Source organism: Homo sapiens, chromosome 10, assembly GCF_000001405.40.
Source record: "Homo sapiens chromosome 10, GRCh38.p14 Primary Assembly".
Classification (NCBI taxonomy): domain Eukaryota; kingdom Metazoa; phylum Chordata; class Mammalia; order Primates; family Hominidae; genus Homo; species Homo sapiens.
In genome coordinates, this window is record NC_000010.11 from 98,506,406 (window position 1) to 98,524,419 (window position 18,014).

Below are 18,014 nucleotides of genomic sequence, written 5' to 3' on the forward strand. Positions count from 1 at the left end.
TCCTGTTGGCAGATTCACTGATTTTCCCTTTCTTTCTCCTTTTCTTTCTTTTTTTTTGAGACAAGGTCTTGCTTTGCTGCCCATGCTGGAGTGCAGTGGTGTGTAACCACAGCTCATCGCAGCCTCGACCTCCTGGGCTCAAGTGATCCTCCTGCCTCAGGTTCCCCCAGTCTCACAAGTAGCCAGGAATACAGGTGTGCACCACTATACCCAGCTAACTTTTAATTTTTTTTGTAGAGACAGGGTCTTGCTATGTTGCCCACTCTGGTCTTAAACTCCTGATCACTCCTCAAGTGATCCTCCCAGCTTGGCCTCACAAAGCACTGGGATTTACAGGCGTCAGCTTCTGAACCCGGCCTGATTTTCCGTTTCTAGAGAGTGCTTTCAAAGTGCTTCTACGTTTTTCTTCTCCCTACCTACCCTTTTGATATTCTATGAAAACCATTTGTGATAGATCTCTTCATTTCCATTTCCAAAAGTGTACATTACTGGACAGAAGCCTTCATTTTTTACTCCCATCCCCAATTCAAGGATAGTGTAACCAGGTAAAGCATGTGACATAGGTAATAGCTGTATGCTTCTCGTATACTGTAGGCAAATGTTTGCTCTTTTTGCTTTTATAAATATCTGTTTAAAATTAGCGCATGCATATTGCTTAAGCACACATATATTTGTAATGAAGTTGTGTGTTTATGTGTATACGAATAGGTTAATAAACATAAAATTTAGAATAATGGTTACCTTGGGTGGGACAGGAGAAATCAGGGAAATGGGGTAGTAAGGTAACTCATAGGTTGATGGGAGTTATTGGTAATGTTTTAGTTTTGGGGTGGAGTGGTGGATTCACAGGCCCTGAGTGTATTATTTTGCTTTAAAAGTAACATATAGGCACAGATAATGTTTTGTATGTGTCAAATAATATATTTAAAACATAATACATGAAAAGTTTTATATTATTTGTTTATCAGAGCTTCCTTTAGGAAGACGACGTTATTGACCCAGGTATAGGCTGCCATCTCTGAATTGTTTTACCCAAAGAGAGAAGAGTTTATGATGATTTGCTGTTAGTTTACCATGTCTTCCCTCAGGGCAATGGAGGGTTTTGGTTTTTAAGTTGGCTGATAGTGGGTTGAAAGCCAGGTGAATATGGAATTTTCACCTTTTCTTAGCTCCATGTACCATTTTCAGACTCCTTTTTCATCCTTGCATTTCTCTCGGTTCCCTATCTATTCTAGCTATTTTTTTCAAACTCCGTCCTCCCCCTCTCTATCCTTATCATGTCCTTATGTAATCCAGCTCTCAGCAGAATCAAATTAGAGTTCCATGCTCACCTCCTTCCTCCCTTTGTTCCTCCTTCTTCTCTTCTTTCCTTCCCTTCTTCCCTCCCCATCTTTCTTTCATTTTATTATGAATGGGTTCCATTTTTATAATCATAAATAAAATGAAACAAATGAAATGACTCCTGAATATTTCTTAAGGCAATGACATGAAAATGCATAAAAGTTATCTTTGTGCAGAGGATAGGAAAAAAAGAAAGAATACACAGACACATCTAACAATAACAACAACAAAGACATTGCCTAGAAGATGGAAGGTAATGAAAAGTTTGCAGACAGTAAGAGTCATTAAGAAGGAAGGCAAATACAATGTTTTTTAAATGTCTATAATAAAAAAAAATCCAAAGGAAGGCATGCATTACAATTTACAAGGGACAAAGAGAGACACAGACAGACATTCTTTAAATGTATTAGACGTGAGGAGAGGTTGAAGAAAAATAGTGTCCATTTATTAGTTGGAAAGGGAAAACTAATAGCAGATGACACTAAAAAGACAGAGGTTTTAAATCTTTTCTTTTTCTTTAGTATTTGTCAAAAAGTCAATTGCTGTCTGAAAGCTAGACAAAGTAGTATATGGAGTGAGTTGAACCAAAATAAATAGGAAAAGAGAAACTGACAGAAGTTTACAGAATTTGCTGGATTAATTGCTCAACTATGTGTTCCCCGAGGTCTAAGACTCACTACCGATTCCTATAGCCCAGTGCCTAGTAGAGTGCCCGGCTATAGGAGGTGCTAGAATTTAATTATGGAATGCCTACTATGATTAAGTTCTTGGCATCATGAAGTTTCTAACCTAGCAAGAAAGACAGTCCTTAAGCCAATGAGTTAAACAATTACTTAATTTTCGTAGTGCTAATGGTAAGAAGAAGTAGGGCAGGACTCTATGAGAGCAGACATTAGAAGATGTGACCATGTCTGAGGGCCAGGGAAGAAGTCTCTCATGAAGGAACATTTAAGATTTGAGGAAAAGAAGGGAGGGGACATAAAGTGTTTGGGGCAACAGAAAGAGCATACGCAAATACTGTGAGATGGGAAGGAGTTTGGTGTGTTTGAGAATTTGAAAGCAGACCAATTCAGCTGGAGCTCAGCAAGTTAAGGCAATAGTGGGACAAGATGAGGGTGGTAGGGCAGATCATAGAGACCTAAGGATTTCAGAATTCATCTTACAATAAATGAGAAGCCATTGCAGAATTTTAGGAGAGAAAACGGCATTATTCAATTTACTTTTAGCAAGTTGACTTTCACAGCTATGTAGAAAGTAAATTGGAGGAAACCACTTAAGAGGTTAGTTTAGATGGCGCGGTGGCTCATGCCTGTAATCCCAGCACATTGGGAGGCCGAGGCGGGTGCATCAAAAGGTCAAGAGATCAAGACCATTCTGGCCAACAGGGTGAAACACTGTCTCTACTAAAAATACAAAAATTAGCTGGGCATAGTGGTGTGCACCTGTAGTCCCAGACACTTGGGAGGCTGAGGCAGGAGAATCACTTGAACCCAGGAAGCGGGGGTTGCAGTGAGCCAAGATCGCGCCACTGCACTCCAGCCTGGTGACAGAGACTCCGTCTCAAAAACAACAACAACAAAACAAAAACAGAAGAAGAAAAAAAGAGGTTAGTTTAGATGAAAGATGATAGTTTTGATTAAAGTGAGAAAGTTAACTTAGAAGAGAGGTTTGGGAGATATTTAAGAGATAGCATTGATAAGATTTGGTGATTGACTGGATATACAGAATGAGCATAAAACAGGATTCATAGCTTTTTTTTTGCTTTCTTTTTTTGAGACGGAGTCTTGCTCTGTCACTCAGGCTAGAGTGCAGTGTCGTGATCTCAGCTCACTGCAACCTCCGCCTCCTGGGTTCAAGCAAATCTCTTGCCTCAGCCACCCGAGTAGCTGGGATTACAGGCGCCTGCCATCGTGCTTGCCTAATTTTTGTATTTTTAGTAGAGATGGGGTTTCACCATCTTGGCCAGGCTGGTCTCGAACTGCTGACCTCGTGATCCACCCGCCTCAGCCTCCCAAAGTGCTGAGATTATAGGCGTGAGCCACCGCACCTGGCTTCATAGCTTTTTAAATGCTCAAATGCTTAACTCGGGAGGTTGGGATGGCTGCTGGTAGTGCAGCAACAACGGCAGCATTTCTCTTCTCTCCTCATCCTGCCCCTCCTATCCCAACCTCAGCCATAAAAGCTTAGTGCTATCAAGCTCTGCCAGGGACACACACACACACACGCACACACACACACTTTGTTAACTGAAACTCAGATATTAGCTCAAGGGTCATTTTCCCAGGGAGCATACTAAAAGAAAAAAGAATCAAACAAAGTAATAATATTAACTCACGAATGTGCATTATGTCTTCCTTAAATTTAGTTCTGAAGTTTTTTTAATCACATTTACTGATAAATATGAATCTAATGCATATTTTTGAAATGTTTTGTCTTTACTTACTTCACTCACTATTTCTCAGGCTTCCTATTTCCAACACCTATAGCTGGCCAAGAGGACCCTTGTTTCAGAAGGCCAAGCCCCAGCTCTCTTTCAGTCATACCCCTTTCCATGGGGCAAGTCCACAGGACCAAGGACTTATGCCCACCTAGAGCTAGCACCCCTTTCTAGACCATGCTCTGAATACTCAGGCCCCTGAATCCTCTGCTCAGATCTTATCCCTAGCTTTTTGCCAGGATCTGCATGGGCTGCAACCTGGAGTCTGGCTTCCTGAGAGCAAACCAGTAGAGTGTGCACTGCTAGGCCAGAAAGGTGGCAAAGGGAACCTGCTTATGGAGGTGTGATCAGGCTTGGGTTTGTGAACTGGACTGTCTACACTGCAGGCCCATGAGACTTTTGATGATACACTACAGAGCCAGGGGTGAGAAGGGGAAACTGCGTTGTGGCCCTGGACTCTGACCCTAGGCTCTGACCAACTCAGGCACAGCAGTGAATATGTTAGCTAGTCCTTTCATTCTACAAACATTTTCTGAGCACATATTCCTAGTGCGTAAGGTTTCCTGTGCAGCCTGGGGGAATGCAAAGATGAACAAGACATCCTTCTGTCATGGAGGGCCGCAGGGCCAAAGATGCATGTAAACACCCTCTGTGAAATGAGGCTGACTAAAGTATCACATGAGCGGGAACCACTTGTAGTACTTTGGGAATTCAGAAGAGGAAATTATTTTTTATAGCTGGAGGAATTTGCAGACAACTTCACCAAGAAACAAAAGTGGAGAGGTAATTTGCTTAGAATTGAAACACATATTCAAATTCTACAAAGTTATGTATTGACTCTAAACTTCAGTTTCCTCATCAGGATTTAATGAGATAATATATCTGGAAACATCTATTACAGTGCCTGATACATAAAAGTATTTAATGAAGTATTTAATGTGTTGCTGTTTTTTTTTTGTTTGTTTTTGTTTTTTGTTTTTTTTTTGAGACAGATTCTTGCTCTGTCACCCAGGCTGGAGTGCAGTGGCACGATCTTGGCTCACTGCAACCTCTGCCTCCCAGATTCAAGCGATTCTCTTGCCTTAGCCTCCAGAGTAGCTGGGACTACAGACACATGCCACCACGTCTGGCTAATTTTTTGTATTTTTAGTAGAGACAGGGTTTCACCGTGTTAGCCAGGATGGTCTTGATCGCCTGACTTCATGATCCACACGCCTTGGCCTCCCAAAGTGCGGGGATTACAGGTGTGAGGCACCGCGCCCAGCCATGTGTTGCTGTTTCTTTTTATTAATTAAAATATATTTTTTACCTCATGAAAATATTCCACTATGTACACAGGTATGCTTCAAGTTGTCCCGAAAACATAACTATGGTGTGTGTGTGTGTGTGTGTGTGTGTGTGTGTGTGTGTGTGTTTGTGTGTGTGTGTGCGCACGTGTGTGTTGGGAAGGTTCAGGATGGTTGGAAGGAAGTTTCTTGAGATCAGGGCCTGTATCTTTGCATTCCCAGTGCCATAGACATTGGGATTTAATAAATATTCTTTGATTGAATAAATGATCAAATTAAGATTCACCTCCTGAAGCTGTTGAGAATGAAATAACTGCAAGGTTCAAAGGTCATGGTTTTCCTGGGCACTGACAGGTCTTGCTGCAGGTGCATGAGCTTGTTTAATCTCAACAGTTTTTGCTTCTGGGAATTATAAATGCTCCGAAGTGTGATGGCAAAATGACAAATATTTTTCCTTCCTGAAGCCTGTTGTGTGGTTTCCAAAGTTGTAAAAACCTAATTAATTCTAATAGGCACAAATGCTAAACCAGTAGCTACTCTTCATCTAGATATTTGACCTTGGAGAGCCAAGAAGAAATGGAGTGGAACATTACCATTGGTTTTTGCACCAGATGTGGCAGGATGCCAGAGCTAATGTGTGAGGGAAAGAGCTCTGCTGCTCCAACTTCCTCCACAGAGAGGGAGCTGCAAGGCAGATCCAGAAAGTTTTCATGTGACTTAAGCATCTTTGGAAATTTTGAAAGCTACTATTTCCCTTGCTGCCCCTCTAGAGGTAATGAAATACCCTCCAATCCATTTTTTGGCTACTTTACTTAAAATTGTCGAATGGTGGCCGGGTGCAGTGGCTCACGCCTGTAATCCCAGCACTTTGGGAGGCCGAGGCGGGCGGATCACGAGGTCCGGAGATCGAGACCATCCTGGCTAACACGGTGAAACCCTGTCTCTACTAAAAACACACACAAAAAATTAGCCGGGCGTGGTAGCGGGTGCCTGTAGTCCCAGCTACTCGGGAGGCTGAGGTGGGAGAATGGCATGAACCCGGGAGGCGGAGGTTGCAGTGAGCCAAGATCGCACCACTGCACTCCAGCCTGGGTGACAGAGTGAGACTGCGTCTCAAAAAAAAAAAAAATTGTCAAATGGCTTCCCATTTCTTGCTGGGTAAAGTAGGAAGATCAGTGCTTTTTAATATGAATTGTCTCCTTACTGATTCACCTTTCTCTATCTGGCCTTTCATGCTTAAGGATGTTGGTGGTTTTCTCCCACCCTTCAAGGATAGGGCCTTTCTGTTTCTCCACTTACCTCCCACTCCACTCCTCCCAGACCCATTCCACTCCCACCCCCCAACACACACACACACACACACACACACACACAGGCACACTTTGTTAACTCAACTGAGATATTAGCTCAAGGGTCATTTTCCCATGGAAGCCTTCTTGGACCACCCACATCCCTTGCCTGGGTGAAATCACATTTCTGTATCATATGTTCTCACAGAACCATTTCTTTCTCCTGGGACACTTGATTCAATTTGTATTTACATATTTATTGGTGGGATTATCCAGTTCATATGTGTCTTTCCTTCTAGACTATGATTTTCATAATGATGGGATTATGTTTTCTCACAGATGTATCCCTAGAGTCTAACACAGCACTTAGAACATAAGGGTTTTCAATAAACGGTTGTAACTATGAGGGCCTTGAGGTATCTATGTTCCCCTTGTATGGCCTCCTGCCCCTTGCTTCTCTTACCCAGTCTTATCTATGGCTGGACTTTAGGTAATAAACTTTGAAAAAAATTACAGAATTTTTATGTTTTCAGCCTCATCAAACCCAGATGTGAGTAATAGTGGGAGGAGGCATTAGCTCAGTTGGGGTTCCACGGAGCAGCCAGTGGCAGCAGTGAGAAACATTTAACCCAATACAATGGGGGAGATGCTCAAACTAGAGAATTGAGTGGAATGGAGACCCGTGAAGCCCTCAACCTTGAATTACAGTCCAGAGGGTCATCACATAAGGGGCACCAGAAGTCCTGGAGCATGAAGTCAGAATTCCAGGTGTGCTGCAAGTGAAAGCAATCATAAACTTGCACACAAAATTACAAAGGAATGCCTTCATCTGCTCACTGTCAAAAGGTAGATGATGTTGTCTGGGCTCAAAAAATCAAGGGCAGAACTGACAAGTTTGCTGTAAAAAAATGACAACAATATGCTTTTGGTAAGAGCTATTTTTTGGCAGAAATGCATTTGAACTATTCTTGTTTCAACAACTTGGAGAGTCAGATCATGAAAGTCTGGTATGCCAGTGAAACATTTCCTAGTGTTTAGTATCAATAATGAATTGTCAAATGGTACAGCCACTAGGTAAAAGTTTGGTGGTTCCTCAATAAGTTAAATATAGAATCATCACATGATCCAGCAATTCCACTCCTAGGCATATACCCAAAAGACGTGAAAAGAGGAACTCAGACATACTTGTACATGGATGTTCACAGCAGCATTATTCACAATAGTCAAAAGGTGAAAACAGCCCAAGAGTCCATCAACAGATGAATGGATCAACAAAATATGGCACATATGTATATATATATATTTATATACATACATAAATGGAATATTATTCAGATGTAAAAAGGAGTGACTTTCTGAAACATGGTATAAAATAGATGAACCTCGAAAACATGCTAAGTGAAATAAGCCAGACACAAAAGGACAAATGTTGTATGATTCCACTTATATGAATGATCTAGAATAGGTAAATTCACAAAAAGTAGAATAAGGTTACCAAAGGTGGAAGGGGGAGGCAAGAATAGGGAGATATTGCATATGGTTACAGAGTTGTTATTCAAAGTGATAAAAAAATTTTGGAAATAGCTAGTAGAGATGGTTGCATACCATCGTGAATGTACTTCATAACACTGAATAGTAAACTTAAAAATTGTTAAAACAGCAAATTTTATGTTATATATATTTTACCACAATAAAAAAAGAAAAAAGGAATGAATTTCTGGAGATAAACTTTCTTGAGAGTAACTTGGCAATATGTATCAAAAGCCTTAATTGCTGCATACCCATTTCACTTCTTATAATTTATTTTTAGGAGATAATCACAGATTTGTTCAAAGATTTATTTGTAAGATGGTTGTAGTGACCACTGCTGGTTTTCTTCTTTAATATCCTCCTTCTGGTCACAGCATCTGGATTTTCTTTCAGGAAATCATTTGGCTGTGGTTATATACTTTGTTTTTTTTTTTTTTTTTTTTTTTTTTAGACAGAGTCTTGCTCTTTCACCCAGGCTGGAATGCAGTGGTGCGATCTCAGCTCATTGCAACCTCCACCTACCTGGATCAAGCAATTCCTCTGCCTCAGCCTCCCAAGTAGCTGGGATTACAGGCACCCACCACCACACCCGGCTATTTTTTTTTTTGTATTTTTAGCAGAGACAGGGTTTCACCATGTTGGCCAGACTGGTCTCGAGCTCCTGACCTCAGGCAATCCGCCCGCCTCGGCCTCCCAAAGTGCTGGGATTACAGGCGTGAGCCACCGCGCCCAGCCCGTTATATACTGTTTACTTAGGTTCCCTGGTCTCCCTTGAGGCAAGCAATCATATTGAACTCGCTGGACTTTCTCTCCAGGGAATCTGAAAGCTGGGTGGTGTGGTCAAGCCGACTGAGAGTGGCTGGAGGTGATTTATTCCATGGAGTGGAACTTTAAGGAGACTGATCTTAAGACAGGGTAGGATCCAGGTACCATGGGTGCCGACATCTAGATCTCCTGTGTTGCCCTGGATCCTACCCTTTTCAAGCCGGCTGCTTTACCTTTTCTTCTCTGCTTAAGCTACCTACATTCCCTTCCTCCTTAATTTTTTTATTACCAAAGAATCTTGGTTCAATGATCATTATAGCATTATTTTTAATGGAGAAAAATCTTGAAAGCAAAGTTCAATAAATCAATTAATGAGTAAACAAATTGTAGATCCAACTATGGATACTTTGTAGTCACTAGAAATTATATTTTAGAAGAATATAATGATGTCAAAAATGGTCATTACAGTGTGCAGAATAAAAGCAGACTCTAAAATAGAATTATCCTGTTTTAAGGGGAAATAAAACATGTCTCTGTGCAGTTAAACCTGAAGGATATACATATAAATGAAAATAGTTGTTATCTCTGGGTAGCAGGATTACAGAGCATTTTCTTTTTAAGAATATTTTCTAAACTTTCAGGAATGAACATTTAAAATGAAAAAAAGTTTTCATTTTTTAAGATATATACACATATTTCTGTTGATAACTTCCTTATTCTTAAAATGGGAGATCTGATTATTTCTCAGCTTTCAAAGTCATATTGTTTTAAAAATGGATCTGTGTTTCTAACTGCCTTTTCTACAGCACTACAAGCACCTCGTATGTAAAATACCCAAATATATCAATTCCTCCCTCTCCCCACCAGCTCCACTGAAACCTCCTCTAGGAAGCCTCCCTGAACTCCCAAGTCCAGGTTAGGGTTTCTTTTGTACTCCACCCTGTGGATTCCTGCAGTTCTCCCTGCTGATCTCCATCCCTTACAGCACGGTTCACACTATATGTGAATTGCCTGTTTACCTGTCCTCTCTACGAGACCCTTCAGTGGCAGAAGGGTCCGTGTTTGTTCATAACAATGTCAGTGAACATTTCTAGAGTACTTAAGATGTGCTCGGCCCTTCACATATATTATCTCATTGAATTCAGGAAACAATCCTATAAAGAGGTACTGTTGTTTGTCCTATTTTACAAATAAAGATATTGAAACTCAGCGACAGAAAGCAATTTACACAAGTGACACAGTTGCAGCCTCAGCACCCAGCACAGGGTCTAAGTATGTATTCGGTGCTTTATAAATAAATATTTGTTGAATGAATGAATGAATGTACTAAAATTATGTAGCTAAATCTCCCTATTGCAGTTTTCTGAATCTATAAATAAAAAACGTTGCCAGAATTAAAAGTGCCTGATGAAATGGGTAAAATGTCAGTATGTAGCCAGAAGGGGAAAAACATCTTATCTCACTAATTGGTGACTTCACTGTGAAACTCTCTTAAAAATTCAGAGCCACTACTGCCTAGAGATAAAAATCAGTCCCATTTTTTTTCTGTCTCTGAATGCTTCTGTGAGAATTACTAAACCAGGAGGGTACACTTCACTGGCTGAATTACATGCAGGGAAAGGCAAGAGGTAAAAGCGCTTCTCTCTCACCTGAATTGCCCCCATGCTGCCCTGTATCCCTCTTTGCTGCACTTGGAATACCTGAACAGAGCCAGAACACCAGATGTGAAGCTCATTGTCCAGACCTTCACACTGTGAGTAGGGGCCTGAAATACAAAGAACAAACCTGGGACAAATGTGATAATCAATGAAGCACTGCTTTGAAAAGAAAAGGAACAGGCTGCCAAAATCTCAATTTTAAGCTGGAATTCAGCAAGCAGAAAAGTTGAGTGATAAGAAATCTCCTGCTTTTCACTAGGATTGTCAAAGTTCCTAAATTTACCAGGAGCTCCCTGACTCTCTGAGTGGTTCTTAGTTTCAGGGGTTATTTTTATCCAGGAAAATATTGTAGGAATAATCCCTTCTTTCGAATCCCAGGAACCTGAGAGAAAGCATACTATTTCCCAGATCCTAAGACCCAGAGCAGGGCTTTCATCCTCAACACTATCGATAGCTTGGGCCTGGCAATTCTCTGTTGGGTGTGGGGTGGGGGGGGCGAGGCGAGGGGGTGCATTGCAGGATATTCAGCAGCAGCCCTGTCCTGTCCTATGTCAGTAGCACACCCCTCATGCCCCACCCAGCTATAACAACCAAAAATGTCTCCAGACATTGCTAAATGTCCCTTGGGGAGCAAAATCACACTTCCCACACTTCCCATCCCACCCCTTCATTTGGAGAACCGCTGATCTAGAGTGTGGCAAATGGAAAACACTGGTTCATTCCCTTCCCATAGAACATCAGAGAGTACCTCGTAAATACACACGTGGACACATGATGCTTGTTTATTTACCTGGAGTGGAAGAAGGGAGAAAGTGTCCCATTAACCTAACATTTCATGTTTGATGGTGATATGTAAGAATGTCTAATCTTTTGTTAATCCTCACTTAAGAAACTTTTTTTCCATTCACCCAGCCAACTAAGGTTTCCAAGCATGGAATCTTAGTCTTTGGAATGGAGCTGGTTCCCCAGACCATTTTGGATTTCTGGATGTTTGTGTACATCCCTAGTAGATAGAAAAGCATGGCGTTTGGAGTCAAGCACCCTGGATTGAAATTCCAGTGAAAACTTTTATTTACCTGTGCTCACTGCAAGTCACTAAACTGCTCTGAGATCCAAGTTCCTCAACCATAAAAACCTCTCTTATTTGACTGCGGTCAAAACTGAATGAGATGAAGCCAAGAGATGGGCCTGGCACAGGCCTGGTTGTTACAACCAGTTCCTGCTTATAAATGTTTTCTTCCTTCAATGCTTGATTATTACCCAAGAAGTAACAGTAAGGGAAAGCTTCCCTCCCAGTGTCTAGTACCCCAGAATATTCCTTCAGCTCTTCCCAAAACATGGTGAGAAGAGGTAACACTGGGTGAGAAGAAGTAATACTGGGATAATCAGGGAAGGCTTTTGAATGTGACTTACAGTTTTTGCCTGGAGTTGGTCAGAAGCAACTTGGCAGGCAGTAATTAAAGACTGAGTTTGGATGGATAGGGCTTTTTCAGGGAGAGTGTCCACCCATGGGTGAGAGGTCTGCTGGTGCAGAGGTTTTGTTTCATTCTGAAGACCTCTTCTACATCATTCTGCAAGCTATAATGCAAGTGACAGTAATTAGAAGTTAGATGTGGATTCTAGTTCAACTTCAGCACTTTCTAGATGAGACCATCACCTTGGGCAAAAACTTTCCCTCTAAGCCTCAGAATCCTCATGTATAAAACAGGATGGGCCAGGTGTGGTGGCTCACACCAGTAATCCCAGCACTTCAGGAGGCTGAGGCAGGTGGATCACTTGAGGTCAGGAATTCGAGACCAACCTGGCCAATATGGTAAAACCCCATCTCTACTAAAAATGAAAAAAAATTAGCTGGGCGTGGTGTGCGTGTCTGTAATCCCAGCTAACTAGGAGGCTGAGGCAGGAGAATCGCTTGAACCCAGGAGATGGAGGTTGCAGTGAGCTGAGATTGTGCCACTGCACTCCAGCCTGGGCCACAGAGTGAGACTCCATCCCACGAGGAAAAAAAAAAAAAGATGATACTTTAGCCTATCTCATCAGGTTGTTGTGAAAATTAACAAGATAATGCGTGCAAAGAGATCGGCCCAGTTCCTGGTGAGTAGTAGACACTGTGAAATATTAGCTGATGTTATATTAATAATCATCTTCTGTAAACGCCTGCACAATATGAGCACATCTGAATATATTCTTGAAAGGATAAATAATAGGGAAACAAGGTCCAAGACAGATAAGACAGAACTCAAACAGCTGACCAATCAAAAGAACAAGCTGAGGATAAAGTACCAATGGGGGAAAAATGCAGAAAAAATGAAGTGGGCAAAAAAGACAAAGGTCAAAAGTGAATAGTGCAACTTTCTGTGAAAGCTGGGGACCACTTATGTATGTGCCAGAAAGTCTCACATTCGGGCTAGGAGCAAGGCCCTACATTGAATAGAAACAAACAGATAGATATTAGAAGGGCTTTTTGGCTAGATATCATCATCATCATCATCATTCATTAACATTTGCTGAGCACCTGTGATATATTGGACAGATAGAAATAACTAAGATAAAGTCTCACACCTTGAAGAGCTCATAGTTTAGTTGGCCCACAGCCAGGAAAGTCTCTGTAAGTAGAGTTTTTGAGCTAATTCTTAGGTCCCATGTTCCTTCTTTCACTGACACATCCTTTGGATGTTGGTGGGCAAAGGAGTACAAGCCCCTGTGGGCTTCAGCAAGCCCTTTTTCTCCCCAAATGCTCTTGCCCTCTTTTACCACCTAAGCTTTCCTGCACCAAAAGTATTTCTACAAGTCAGGAAAGTTAAAGTGCATGTGCTGTGCTTAAAGAAGAGGTTTTATAATAACCACTGCCTTCTTGGCAGGCTGCAGAAGCTGAGCCAGTGGAGAAATCTCTGGAAGGGCAGTTGGAAGTAACTGGCTGACTCCTTTGCCCAGGGTGGGCATCATGCTAGCATCTTTCTGGCTACAAAGAGTAGAATCAAGTCTGTGAAGTCAGGTGGAGACCTAACTGCAGCTTTAACAGGCCAACAGCTGGGTCAACCAGCCACAGAGACATTTTCTTGACAGTCACTCTGGTGGGCTTAGGGGATTCAGAAAACAAAAGTGAAGGTGGTCTCCACCCAGACCCCTCCAGGAAAGCCTGTGGAACATTGCATTGTCCACAAGCTATTTTGCAGCTGCTTCAATTAAAGAATTAAACTGTATCTGAGTAGCAGCAACATACATGAGAGCCAAATTGGATTCCTCCTTGGAAAATAAGCTACAGACCACATCTTTATTGTGCAGACACTCATTAACAAATATGTAAAAAAATACCCGTCAGAGAAAGATGTTTTCCTGCTTTGGAGACTTTAAAAAAAGCATTTAATTCCATCTGGCACGCATGGCTGAATCTGAAATGGCTACAATGTGTGACTGGTGGGAAAGCATGACAAAAGGAGTTCTGTCTATCAATCCACCCTCTGCAGGGCAGCTATACCCAGAACTCCACTGGGTTAGGGAGAAGGGGCCATTCCTGATTCTCTGAACAGTGGGGACATGTTTTCTATGCTTGAGGAAATTCTAAGTTTAGGGTCTTTTCTGAGGAAAAGAAATGCTGGCTGCAGACAACGAGGCCAGTGCCTCCATTTCTCTCCTCGCTCGTGAGCAGTTCAGATGCTAGACAGGCTACAACATACAGACCATGTACAGAGAGACTTACAAACCATTCCCAAGAAATGGTCCCAAGTAACCTCACATTTCACGTTTTTAAGCGTAGACTATACTGTCTATGCTTTCACAGGGCCCACTAAACCCGTGGGGACAGCAGACCCTGCTCTCCAAAGTCCAAACTCAAGTGGAGCCAAGCCTCACAGTAAAGTGGGCTTCGAGGCGCAAAGTAAGATCTATCCTTTAAGAAGAAACTGTATATCTAATGGCTTTTAGGACATTTTCATTGATATTAGGATTTACGTGATTAAAAAATAATAGTTAACTTTGCAACTTCCAAAGTGTATTGTTGTACCTTAAAGCCAAGGCATAAGTGTAGAAATACGAATAAGAAAGAATCAAGCTGGGATGGTACTGGTACCAAAACAGATGTACAGACCAAATGGAACAGAACAGAGCCCTCAGAAATAACACCACACATCTACAACCATCTGATCTTTGACAAACCTGACAAAAACAAGAAATGGGGAAAGGATTCCCTATTTAATAAATGGTGTGGGGAAAACTGGCTAGCCATAGGTAGAAAGCTGAAACTGAATCCCTTCCTTACACCTTATACAAAAATTAATTCAAGATGGATTAAAGACTTAAGTGTTAGACCTAAAACCATAAAATCCCTAGAAGAAAACCTAGGCAATACCATTGAGGACATTGGCATGGGCAAGGACTTCATGTCTAAAACACCAAAAGCAATGGCAACAAAAGCCAAAATTGACAAATGGGATCTGATTAAACTAAAGAGCTTCTGCACGGCAAAAGAAACTACCATCAGAGTGAACAGGCAACCTACAGAATGGAAGAAAATTTTTGCAATCTACCCATCTGACAAAGGGCTAATATCCAGAATCTACAAAGAACTCAAACAAATTTACAAGAAAAAAACTCCATCAAAAAGTGGGCAAAGGATATGAACAGACACTTCTCAGAAGAAGACATTTATGCAGCCAACAGACACATGAAAAAATGCTCATCATCACTGATCACCAGAGAAATGCAACTCAAAACCACAATGAGATACCATCTCATGCCAGTTAGAATGGCAATCATTAAAAAGTCAGGAAACAACAGGTGCTGGAGAGGATGTGGAGAAATAGGAATGTTTTTACACTGCTGGTGGGAGTGTAAATTAGTTCAGCCATTGTGGAAGACAGTGTGGCGATTCCTCAAGGATCTAGAACTAGAAATACCATTTGACCCAGCCATCCCATTACTGGGTATATACCCAAAGGATTATAAACCATGCTGCTATAAAGACACATGCACACATACGATTATTGCGGCACTCTTCACAATAGCAAGGACTTGGAACCAACCCAAATGTCCATCAATGATAGACTGGATTAAGATATGTGGCACATATACACCATAGAATACTATGCAGCCATAAAAAAGGATGAGTTCATGTCCTTTGCAGGGACATGGATAAAGCTGAAAACCATCATTCTCAGCAAACTATCACAAGGACAGAAAACCAAATACCACATGTTCTCACTCATAGGTGGGAATTGAACAATGAGATAACTTGGACACAGGGCGGGGAACATCACACACCGAGGCCTGTCAGGGGGTGTGGGGCTGGGGGAGGGAAAAGCATTAGGAGAAATACCTAATGCAAATGACGAGTTGATGGGTGCAGCAAACCAACATGGCACATGTACACCTATTTATCAAACCTGCATGTTGTGCACATGTACCCTAGAACTTAAAGGATAATTATAAAAAAAAAAAGAATCAACTACATGGGATTGTTAGGAAGTTTAAATGGTTTCATATAGGGTTTAGAACAGTGGCTGATATGTATTAGGGTTTGTAAACAAAATAAACTCTTCAATATGCAAAAAAAAAACAATAAAACAAAATAATTTAAAAAAAAGAAAGAATCAGGCTGTGGAGAGATAGAGAATCTTTGTTCCCCACCATCCACTATAAGAGAAACTAATAGGTACTTTGCTGTTTATGAAGAGCAAAGAAGAGCAAAGTGTGAGGCAGTTCCCGGGGGGCGGGGGAAATAGGTCTTGTGGAATAAGGCCATCTCTGTCAGCAAATCTTTTTTTTGTTTGTTTTTTGTTTTTTTGAGATGGAATCTTGCTCTGTCACCAGGCTGGAGTGCAATGGCATGATCTCAGCTCACGGCAACCTCCGCTTCCCGGATTCAAGAGATTCTCCTGCCTCAGCCTCCTGAGTAGCTGGGATTACAGGCGCCCACCACAATGCCCGGCTAATTTTTTTGGATTTTTTAGTAGAGATGGGCTTTTACCATATTGGCCAGGCTGGTTTCAAACTCCTCACCTCAGGTGATCTGCCCGCCTCGGCCTCCCAAACTGTTGGGATTACAGGCGTGAGCCACCGTGTCCCGCCTTCGTCAGCGAATCTTTGAAAGGAGGAGATGGACACAGTGTAGAGAAAAGGCAGAAGTCCTGCATCTTATCCTGAGTCTTGCAGATAGTTTTGTTGACATCTAGTAAGGAAGAGGACTGGTAACTAACTGGCAAGCCCACACTGCCAAACTGGATCATTCCCAAGAGAAAATATACTAGAAACAAAATGAACCAAAGTGGCCATCCATACAGCAGGATTTTTCTGGGCTGCGGCTTAATTCTTCCTATATGGATGCTGTCCTATGACCAGGGACAACAAGCAGTTCTCTCAGTTGGGCACAGCACCCAACCATTGGAAAGGTTTTGTTTTGTTTTGTTTGTTTGTTTGTTTGTTTCCAGCTATCACCTTGTCCTTACTATTCAGAAGGTAATTGTGGGTGAGTGACAGGAACACTTTGGGGCTGGTACTTTGCCAATTTATATTCTTATGCTTAATAGATGTACATGGGAAGGCACAGTACCAACTCAGTAACTGCCTTTGATATTTTCATACACAACTACTCAAATATTGGAAACAAATCATTACAAATCTAAAGAGCTTTAGCTATGGGGTTCTACAGACTTTGTATAAGAAAACATTAGTTGATGAGAAAGTTTGAAAGAACAGCCACCTTGGCACAGAAACCCAGTATGAAATAGAATATAGACTCTTGGAAATGTGAAAGTTTTTCAAAATTCAAAGGAAAGTCCAATTTCAGAAAACTGCAGGCTGGAAGATAGCTTATTGAATCCCAAATAAAGACATTACTATAAATTTCATTATGTAATTTGATAATTCTGACATTTACAAATGCATAATGACATCAATCTTGAATTGCACAAAATCAAACTCTCATACAAAATAAGCTGGATGGAAAAATTTTCCTTATTTTGCTCTGATCACCATTCCGCAGTTTTAAGGGCCAGTAGTTGTTTTAAACATATAAGTGGGATACTAAAAATGTATTTTTAAATTTCCTTTATGATTAGGAATTAAAGTCTATATAGTATAGGTTCACTACCTGATCTCTCACTTCTGCCTCAGTAAAGTTTCCTTGTCAACTCTAATGTAAATATTGGCAGAGTCTCCTCCTATCTTCTCTACCTCCTTAGCCAAAGATATAAACAAAAATTTCAGATGTTCTTAACAGAAATTGGACCAGAAAGTACAATAGCTTAGGGGCCTTTCATAATATCATAAAAGATTTCTTTTGGCAGAGTGAAGGATTTCTGCTCCACCTGCTTTCTCCCAGCTACCCAATCCTTGAACCCTTTCTCAGTCCCAGGGTCAACCTCAAGACACGCAACCAGTACAGTTGCACAAGGCCCCATGCTCCAAAGAGCCCTGTGCTTGGCTTAATGCTCTGCTGTTGACATCTTGAAATTCTCAATAATTTTATCTTTGAACCGCTGCTTTGTAAATGAAGTCCAATGGGATAATGGGACACGCGCATGAGTTGAGGAGCTGTGCACAATATGCGTGTCCAAAGATCCTTGCTGTCATATTAACATATAGTGTTGCAATGCCCCGTGAGCACACAGTTCTGGTGGAGCCGTAATGCCAGTGGGGGACTTCAATGATGCTCAAGTGCGTGCAAGATAAGTATGTGTAAGTAGGGAGTGGTGGGGCTGACTGTCCGAGA

The 18,014-nt window shown here is 41.5% G+C and overlaps 1 protein-coding gene across 12 annotated transcripts in view; it reads right to left on the reverse strand.

Moving 5' to 3' along the window:
- The window catches only part of HPSE2 (heparanase 2 (inactive)), an 858,875-nt gene that overhangs the window by 49,329 nt on the left and 791,532 nt on the right, over positions 1 to 18,014 (reverse strand). The gene's annotated exons all lie outside the window — the stretch shown is intronic.